At 43.5% G+C, this 9951-nt stretch overlaps 1 annotated feature.

Moving 5' to 3' along the window:
- Positions 4064–8020: an enhancer, noted in NCBI's record as "VISTA enhancer hs1535". NCBI's record gives its function as "enhancer in: hindbrain (rhombencephalon)[4/5]" and the evidence as "EXISTENCE:transgenic organism evidence [ECO:0001131][PMID:17130149]".

Raw genomic sequence — 9951 nt, 5'->3', positions numbered from 1 at the left:
GGTGGAAATAAGTTTTAAGAATAAAAGAGTAAACAAGTTTTAAATGACATCTAAAATAATATGTGGTTCGCAAATATGTTATTGGTCATGAATATTTCTATTATTATTATCATCACCTTATTCTTTTTCAAATGTCTTCATTGCTAGCCTGAAATCCCCTGCTGCCCAAGGCCAGAACAATTCTCAAATGGGCATTTACCTCAGTGTCCAGGCTCATCTGCCCCAAGTCTCCCAGAAAGCCATCATATATGTGCTCTCTTGGTTTGCATTGTCAAACTGTAAATGGTCATTTATTTAAAAAAAACAGGCTTTGTCTCCAACAAATATTTGGAGCCCAAGTTTTATCTGAGATGCAGGTTTCCTGGGTGGGTTGTAAACCCAGGAAATAGAGGATTGAATGGATGTAGTGCCAGACTTGGGTAAGTCATAAAGTTTGCGATTACGTTTGTTAGAATTCTAGAGCTAAAACCAGTTACAAAAAATAAGCCCACCTTCTGTCCTCCTGCCAAGATTAAAGCAGCCCTTGACTGTCAGTCCCTGATCAAAATGACTGTCCTCACAGCTGTAGGTCTAGTTTACCCTTCTTTTGTTCTCGGTTCAGGCAGAGGGGAAACAGCTGATGAGAATTCCCCACGAGATAGTTCTTTCCTCTTGCACAAAGGGGCTGGCTGGTGTCTGGAAAGCTTGGGAGATGTCCTTTGTAGACCTGGTCCTTGAGGGATGCCTCATGCTGGGAGGACAGGTCCCCGGGGCCTGGCAGGTGATCGTGCATGGGTCTGGAGGAGTGAGTAGATATGCTTTGTGTCTTGTTTCCCTGTTTTGTGCCTCTCTCACTCTTTGCTGGGGCTACTGGGAACTCTGTGGAAACTCTCAGGACTAGGATTCAGGGAGAAGAGAAGGGGAGATGGGTGGGGGTATTACGTAGAAAGGAAATATACAATTAGTAAATTTGATTCAACTCTGATCTTGGTTCCTAAGGATTGTTTTTGATAGGGCAAAATAGTTTTCCAGGAATAAAAGCCTTAGTGATGGGAAAGCTGCATGGGAATGAAGCAGTGGCAACTAGGTATGGGTCAGGACTCCCCAGGAGACTCCAGAGTTCCTGGCTCTCACCAAGACCCCACTCTGTCCTCACCTCACAACACCTGGGGGGTGTTTAGAGACCTGAGTGTGGGCAGTTACTTGCTCTCCCAATGGGCTGAGCCAGGACCTAGAACCCCCTGAAGCTGACCCTGGCACCAAGAGGGACTTGTACAAATACACACTGATCTTCCCCCAGCACTGTTGAGGTGTATTCTAAGCTGCATCTACAAATGGTAAGTATATTTTAAATATTCATGACCTTGCCTCACCACTGACAATCACTATCCCTACTGAGTGTCCCCTAAACTTCTCTGAAGCAGCTCAGTTGGTTTTACAAAGGCCATACAAGGGACCTGCCTCCCTTTCCCTTCAGATCCTGAGGTTGTGTCAAGATTGAACTCGGGATTCTGTTTTAGGTCCCATAGGCTTGTATAAGTTTTTATGTCTACAGGATAATGTATAAAATGTATCAAAATGTATTATGCCCACAAAGGTTTAAGTCTCTTGAAGTCACTGAGTTGACAATCCAACGGAGTGATTTGAGGGTATGGTGGTTGCAATTGTCGATAATGTATTTTCTAGAATAAGAGATAGCAAGTTGAATAGAAAATCTACAAGCCTCCTTATCTTGGTGTTCTGATGCCTCCTTCCTCACCCCTGACCTTTACCCCTCCAACCCACTAATGGACCCCAGAACTTATCCTGGAACCTGAGCTGGAGAGGGCAGGGTTGGCAGAGACATCCTCTCCAGAATCTGTCTCTCTCCCAGGGGAGCTCTTGAAGGAAATCTGCAGCAGAGAATTTTCCTGCTCTTCTTATCCAAGAGAAGGATTTCATTTGCTAGTTTATAAATGGGTGCTGTCTAGTAGTTAAGTCTGCTAGGGGACTGGGCTGTGGGAGCATGTTTGAGGGTTTTTGTTCATAAATATTACGTGGAAATGGAGTTCTGCTAGTGTAGGCCAACTCCTGAAAAATGGATCCCTTAACGTCCTCTCAATGAGACCCGCTACATGACAGCCAGCCTGGGGAGCTAAAATACTGGTGAGAAATTGAAGCCATAGATCTGCCTCAGAGTGCGGCCTCATCAGCTGTGATTGTTCAGTGTTAACTTGAAGACTCTACAGCACTCCGGTCTTGCCCATGTCTGATAGGCGGCAGCTTAGCTGGGGGTTCTGGCAGGGCAGGAGAGGCTGGCAATGGGCGCTGCTGCTGCCAGGTGCTCATTTTATGTATGTTCCCTTCTGGCATGCACTGAGGATGGCCTCAGGGGAGAAGAGAGACCCTTGAGTGCTGGTGATTGCATCCTTCAGGGTCCAGCCAGCAAAACAGGAACTGTCTGAGATATTTTACGAAGAGGAGATTTAATGCAGGAATTGGTTACAAAGGTGTAGGAAGGGCTGGAGGAGCAAAATGGAGATGGTGAATAGATGTGAAGGAGCAGAAGGAAGAATAGGTGATATCCAGAGATTAGGAAACTGCTAATCTCCCTGGATTAGAGCCTGCACCTGAGCCCACAACTATGCTGCTGGAACTGCCAAGGAGGTGCTGCTGCTGAGCCCTGGGTGGCTGGAATTGGGAATTACTCTATCCCACTGCCACTATGGCAACTACCAGTCAGTGCCAGAGCAGCCTCTGATGTCCGAGAAAAAAAAGTAGGAAGCTTTGCTCTGTCATCTCTGATCTCTCACTACTGCCTCCCTTTGGCAGAGTCTAACCAGGAGTTGCTGGAGAGTCTGTGAAGTGTAGACTCCCAGCCCCAGCAACAAAGAGGACAGCATAGAAGGGACTGTGTGGGTCTGAGAGGCAATGAATAAATAAATGGCACAGGGTTCTTGTGATAAACGAGCAGACGTGGAAACTAGGAGAGAAGTTCCTAATTTGGTTCAATGACTAAGGCACATTCAATATTTAAAATCCATTGTTCTCTGAATAAGTATTTTTGTTTTTGTTTTGTTTTGTTTTGTTTTGTTTTACAATTCTTTGGAGAAAAGAGGTTAGTGGTTAAAGGGATCAATATTCCACCCAGGACAGGAATTTCCTCTGCAGCATTTGGGGAAGTCTCTGCTTGAACAGTTCTGGTGACACGAAGTTTGCTATCTCAATGGGGTAGCCCGTTCATCATAGCTGGACAGTTCTAATCATTGGCAAGCAGTTTATTCAGCTGAAACTCATCTTTAAGAAACTTCTGCTCAGTGGTCCTTGTTTGGTACACAAAGGTGATTTCCTTGCCTTACCTCTTCTTTAATTTGGGAAGCACTATGTGTTATGTAGACAAGGTGGGCTTTCGCTTCTGTATTAGTCAGGAGTTGGTTTGTCCATTCATGACAGGTTTCTTCCTCCACTTCAAAAAAAAGCAGCTTAAATAAAGTTTAGTGGAGGCTACAAAAGGTGAGATGGTGTTGAGGCTGAAAAATTACCTATTGAGTACAATGTTTACTATTCAGGTGATGGATACACAAAAAGCCTAGACATCAGGACTATGCAATATATGCATGGAAAAAATCTGCTCTTATATCCCCTAAATATATACAAATTAAAAAGATTAAAAAATAAGTTTAGAGTCTGGAGAAGGGAATACTGCATAAGTCGGGGGACTCTGCCCCATCAATTCCCAGGGCCCCAGTGTTCTACATTTCTACTCTGCCATCCTGAAAGTATAACCCTCATCCTCATGGTCCAACATGGAGTGGAGCTCAAGCCATCCTGTCCAGAGGATGGGTAGAGATGGGGATGAGTAGAGTGCTAGCTCTCTGTTAAGGAGCTGTCCTGGGAGTTGCCATTTGAAACTTCCACTTACATTTGTTTGGCCAGATGATTGGCCAGAACTTGGTCACATGCTCACAATCTAGCTGCAAGGGAGTCTGGGAAATGTTTTCCTGGACTGGACAGCTAAGTTCCCTGTTAAAACCTCTACGACTGTGGACAGAGAAGACAACAGATACTGGAGTACAACAAGCACTTTAGCATTTAATCGCAACTCTAGCGTAACAGAGGCCAAGCCATGTGGTAGGCCAGTGTTTCGCACATTTAATATGATGTGATGTGAATCACCTGGGGAGTCTTAAATGCAAATGTTGATTTAGTAGATTGAATTGGGACCTGGGATTCTGCATTTCTATCAAGTTCCCAGCGAAACTCACACTACTGGGACCACATGGACCACAAGGATCTAGAAATACAATGTGAAACATGATGGAAAAAGTCTTATTTTGAATCCCACAAGTGGGATTGAATTCCAGCTTCTTTACTGTAAACTTACCTTTTGGGAGATGTTGTGAGATTAAAAGATCCTGGTTCTCAGGAGGCACTCCATAAAAATACACTTCCTTCCCTGTTTTGGAAAGATTCCCTCAGCTTCACTTGAGGAGGGTGCTGATTGGGTCAGACGAAGGGAGTGGCTCAAATCTGAAACATCAGCCACAGACTCCAGAAGAATGAACAGTGGGTGTCTCCTGAGAGCCAGGTGGGGTCTTCGGGGATTGTGGACAGGGAGGCTCCACCGGGCATTGAAAATGGCAGTGAGGAGGCTTAAGCCTGGGCGTGGGGCAGTGTGGGAGAGAGCACTTCCTCCTATGCCAGCGAGGACGAGGGCCTGAAAGAAACAAGGCCGCCACCACGGGCTTGCCCAACTCCCCATCTGCTCAGGGAGAAAAAGGACACGGAGCAGAGGCAGGAATTCAGGCAATTAATCCTTTATTTAAAGAATAATAAACAGCCAGATTTTACATGCTGAAAGAGGGAACAAGGTAAAAGGGGTTAAAAACTAAAAAGCAAGGATGGCAGACACCAATTAACACAATGCTAATTGACAATTTCCCCAAGCTTCCATGAAACATGCCAGGCCGATTTCCCCAATTGCTAATTAAATCAAACCGCACACACAATACTAATTTCCCTAACTTAGGGAACTCAGTAGACAAATAAAATGAGAAACTAACTTAAACATTTTGTCAAAGTATGGGAAGAAGGATGAATGAAATCTTAACATGAATAAACTGGCTCCAAGTAAATTTGTTAAAGTTCTGGCATGTTTAATGAAGTCTTGAAATATCCCAGTATCTCCGTTCTACTCACAATTGCATAAATGCACTTCCCTAGTCACAAAATAATACACAGCAGTCCTCTTAAACTTACGTTCTCTCCTTCTGGTGAAGGGTACCCAGCGCATCATGGAAGTGACATGTAAATTGCACCATTTAAATATTATAAAATACCTACTTAATTACAATTAAAAACAAAGGAATAACTTGTCTTTAAAATAGTCCCTGAGGTTCTTTGAGCTGGAGACTGGCTTTGTGAAAAACAGAAGCCAGTCACTTAATCACATAGTTGAGTGGAGAGGCAGCCGCCTTGGCTGGCTTTCTTGCAGTCTTCCTTCCCCCGCACTCCACAAAGCTTGCGGGGCTCTGATCTATCCCACAGGCCCCATCTCGTTCTCTTCCCACCAGCCCCCTCTGTAAGCCTGCTATGTAGTGTTCCCTTTCACCTCTGTGCTACATTCAGGGCCCAATAGAAGCATCCCTGTTGAATTATGTCATCACAGAATGGGGACGGGCCTTTAAGGTCATCTATCTAATTTGCTCATTTTACTATTGAGGACACTCATGCCAAGAGATGTGGATGTGCCTAAGATTCAACAGCTGGCCTGTGGCCCCAGGTTTTTAGTTTTCAATTATGCAAGAAATATGTGATGATCTTAATAATCATAGCTCACACTTGCATAGTGTTTACTATGCGCCAGCCACATTTCTAAGCACTCTACGAAATTAACTCAATTGATCCTCACAGTAATCCTGAAGTTCAGATCATTATCTCTCCATTTTACAGATAAAGAAACTGAGGGGCTGTCATGTTAAATAATGTGCCTGAGGTCATATCCCTAAGTGGCAGAAGTAGATTTGATCCAAGAAGTCGTCTGAACCACTCTATTCATTTGCTCTTTTTTAGAGTAATTAGAAAACAGGAATAGAAATAAAAGTAGAGCATGAGAAGTAAGCATCACCTTTAATAATAACAGTACACAGATGTAACCATGATTAGAATTTCGAACATAGCCTAACTTAATTTGTTCTCCTTCTTACATATTAAAAAAAACAGAATCAAACATGTTTATATGGTCTCACATGATTCACTTTTTTTCTCTTAATAGTCTATTATGAACAGCTTTCTATTGCTTATAAATACACATGTACAACATGATCTTCAACGGTTGAAAGGCAGTCCACTGAATGGATGTGGCACAATTTATTTAACCTATGCACCAAGGTTGACACTGAAGATGTTTTCTTCTTTCCCTCTGAACGTGTTGCAATGAACATCTTTACAAAAACATTCTTACCCTTTCGTTAGATTGCCCTTCACTATTAAATATATGGAAACTGGAAGCTCTGATAGGTAAGGGGGAGGGAGAGGTATGTGGGGACACCCCTAAATATGCAGAACTAGGAAACTGGACTCCATACCAGTAACAGAGGAAACCCCTTTTTTCCTAAGTGAAATATTTCACTTTATGTCCATTCTTGTGCACTCCCGCTTTCTTGGGGATCACTAAGGCAAGGGCCAGAGCCCCCACTAAAAAATATAATAGGCAACTCACCATCTGTGGCTAATTTGTTCTTCCAGGGGGTAAGTGATTAACTTTAGACAAATGCATGTCTTTAAAAAATTGTTGTTTTTTATTCTTATTTTAGGGTAACGGTTGCCCGTGGGGGTATTATGAGAACCAGGCTGCAGGTGAAACTTGTTTACCTGGTTTTCCATGTTCCACCCACCGACCAGAGAGGCAAGTTGATACCCCTGCCCAGCCTGAGGTGTAAGCATGGGAGACAGCCACGCATGGCTGCAGAGCTGGGTTCTAAAGCATTTTTGGCCTTTTTCTCCTGACTGGCATCCGTAATGCATTTGTCAAGAGGGAGGCTGCTTATCTGTCCTTGTCCCTTCCTGGGACAAAGGCAGACCTGTCACCGTCAGATCAAGGGAACTCCAGAGCCGTGTGGAAGGACAGCTCAAAGTCTTTCTTGTTCATTGTGATTTATCATAATCACTGACCCCTCCCCCAGGATGAAATAGGAATGAAATAGTAATGTGATAGGTTAATGCTGATAATTAAAGAGAGTTTAAGACCAGTGTGAGGCTGAACTGTGTGTGTGGGTGGTTGAAATGGTTGTTTGATGTGAAAGTCAATGATTGAATTATTCAGAGAGAGAGTGATTTCCAAATGATAATTTTACACTTTACATAACTGATTTTGATTTATTATAGTGGCACCCAGTCGAGCTGCTTTAGTTCTAAGGGGCTGTCAGCTTTTCTATCCCAAACCCTTGGTTTGGAACCACCCCCCCTCACCTCTCCCCTCAAAATCTGGTCATGTCTGAAATTTGACATTGTTGTTGTTATCTTCTCGGCATGGCTTTTCCCTCTTGTCCCTCATAAGAGTTTATGGCTTGTTTGGTTTTGCAATTTATAATCTGGCAGAGGGGTGTGTGTGTGTGTGTGTGTGTGTGTGTGTGTACACGAATGAGTGCACACAGGCCTGGGTATGTGGATGGTGAATGGCCCAGATAACCTGATCTCCCTTTCCTTCTCATTGTGGCTTTATGAAAGCTTTGATCTTTTGTCATTTAGCAAGCGGTAGGGCCATGCTGGGAATAGGACCCTACGGGCCGTTGGAATGAAAACGGTACAGCAGTGGCAAATCGCAATGCTGCTTCAGAATTGAAAAGAGAGAGTGAAAAGTGTGAGGGAGCCCTACAGGATCAACCCAAGAGAAGGAATGTCAGACTTTGAGAAGGTGTGAACTGACACCAGGTAAATCCATCTGAAAAAATCAGTCCTTCTGAGGACGGTTTCTTCTCATCCAAATCTTTTTTGCTGGGAGTGATGCAAACCAAGACACAGATCTCCTGCTGTTCTTTTTTGGAACAGCCTAGGATGCAAGTGCCATGTGACAGGCAAGCTAGTTACTTATCCTAACATATCTGCTTAACACCCACTGCCGCCCCCTCCAGCCTCTATCCCTCCTTGGTTTGGAACACCTGGGGCATGGGGGCACTTGTTCTTGTGGATGAAAGTGGTGGCACAGGACTCATTCATTAATTGACAAATCCTAACTGAGCATTTGTATATAGTAGAATAATATTGACAACAGCTAACATTTGTTGAATGCTTACTTTGTGACAGATGCTGTTTGAAGGACTTCATATTGACTCATTTAATCCTCCTTAGAGCCTACAAAGTAGCTCTGTTGTTAGCTCCATTTTGCCCATCAGGAGACTGAGGGTAACTAAGGTGCCTCTGAGCAATCAGTGCAGCGTCAACACTCAACCTTCTGCCCCAGCACCTGTCCTAGCGGGAGATGCCACATTCCATGTATCCTGGGCTTTTCTTGCCTAGGCCTTTGGATGGCTGAGTGCAGGTCTGCAATCTGTGGCTCTGAAGCAGGCAGGAGTAAAGCTGCTTCATTAAGGAATATGCTGGAAAACTGTGGAGCAACTAGATGAGTTTGGGGATCACAAGAAAAGTTTGGGATGAGTGGAAGGGAGGTGAAGGAGCTGGGGCACATTGGTGGAGGAAGGGGAGGAGAGGGGATGGGAAAGGGAGGCATTGGAAAGAGGTCCTGAAAGGCCAGACTTTGCTCCTGCTCTGGACCAGTACTCTGGTCAGATGCCATGATGACATATCCTGGAAGGAACTTTAAGCTTCCTAAACTGTGAAACTTGTCAACTGGACAGTGTCCCTCAGTTCTGCTTTGGTGTAATGTTCACAGTAATGTGAACACTGGGAAAGCTCGGTAAATCTTGCAGAGCCCTGTTGCATTGGTGCATCTCAGACTGGGGTTCAGTTACTGCCAAGGACTCAATGCTGCCCCATCAGCCTAGTGGATTTCAAGCAGGAAAAGTTAAATATTTTAGTTGGTTAGTCACCAAAATATGACTTCTATAGAAAAACAGATACCACTAAATCATGGAGTAGAAAATAAGATGAAACCCAGGATTTCTAAAAACTTTTTGCCTTCCACTGGAATTCTGAGCTAGGGCCCCTGTCCCTTGGCAGTGTGGATTTACTCTTCTCTGCCCTTTGGAACATTTTGAGAGAAAAGCAGAAGAAGCCTGGCTGCCTGTGTGCCCCTTGGCCTGGCCCAGAACTCTGTAGGCCTGCAAGCCTCCACTACAGCCCAGCCCTCTTTCAGGATGACTCCAGAAGTCTACTTGTGCTCTGAACTTTCACTGTGAACAAAATTGTAATAAACTTGGGGATAGGATGCCTTTCAGAGGAAGATGGGAACCCCTAGAGAAAGAATAGATACAACAGAACTCAATAAAGGCAAAACTTTTCTATATAACAAAAGACAACCCAAACACATGTAAAAGACAAATGACCAACTGGAAGGAGACATTGGCATACCATATAAAGGATTAATATTCTTAGTATACAAAGAGGTCTTAAAAAGCAGAAAGCAAAAGATCAACAACCTGTAGCAAAATGAGCAAAAGTATGAACAGGTAATTTACAGAATACATACCAGTGCTGAGAGACATTTGAGAAGATACTCAACCTCACTAGTTATTAAAGAAATGTAAATTAAACAATATTATATATATATTTTCAACTAGCAGATTGCGAAAAATGAAAACAACTTGATGCTGATAAGTGTGTGAGGAAATGGGCAGACTCATATAGTGTCAGTGGGAATGGGAATGGGAATGTAAATTGGTACAGTCTTTTGGGTGAGTAGTGTAGTTGGGTCTGTAAGAATTGAAAATGCTCTTATCCAGCACCTAAGCATAAGATAATATCAGCAATATTGTATATGTTTAAGGATATATGTATAATGACTTTTCTTTTATAGTGATGGGGTTTTGCTTTGTT

Source organism: Homo sapiens, chromosome 2 (genome assembly GCF_000001405.40).
Source record: "Homo sapiens chromosome 2, GRCh38.p14 Primary Assembly".
In the NCBI taxonomy this organism is placed as follows: Eukaryota; Metazoa; Chordata; class Mammalia; order Primates; family Hominidae; genus Homo; species Homo sapiens.
The sequence above is the reverse complement of the archived record's forward strand: the minus strand, read 5'-3'. Positions and strand labels throughout refer to the sequence as shown.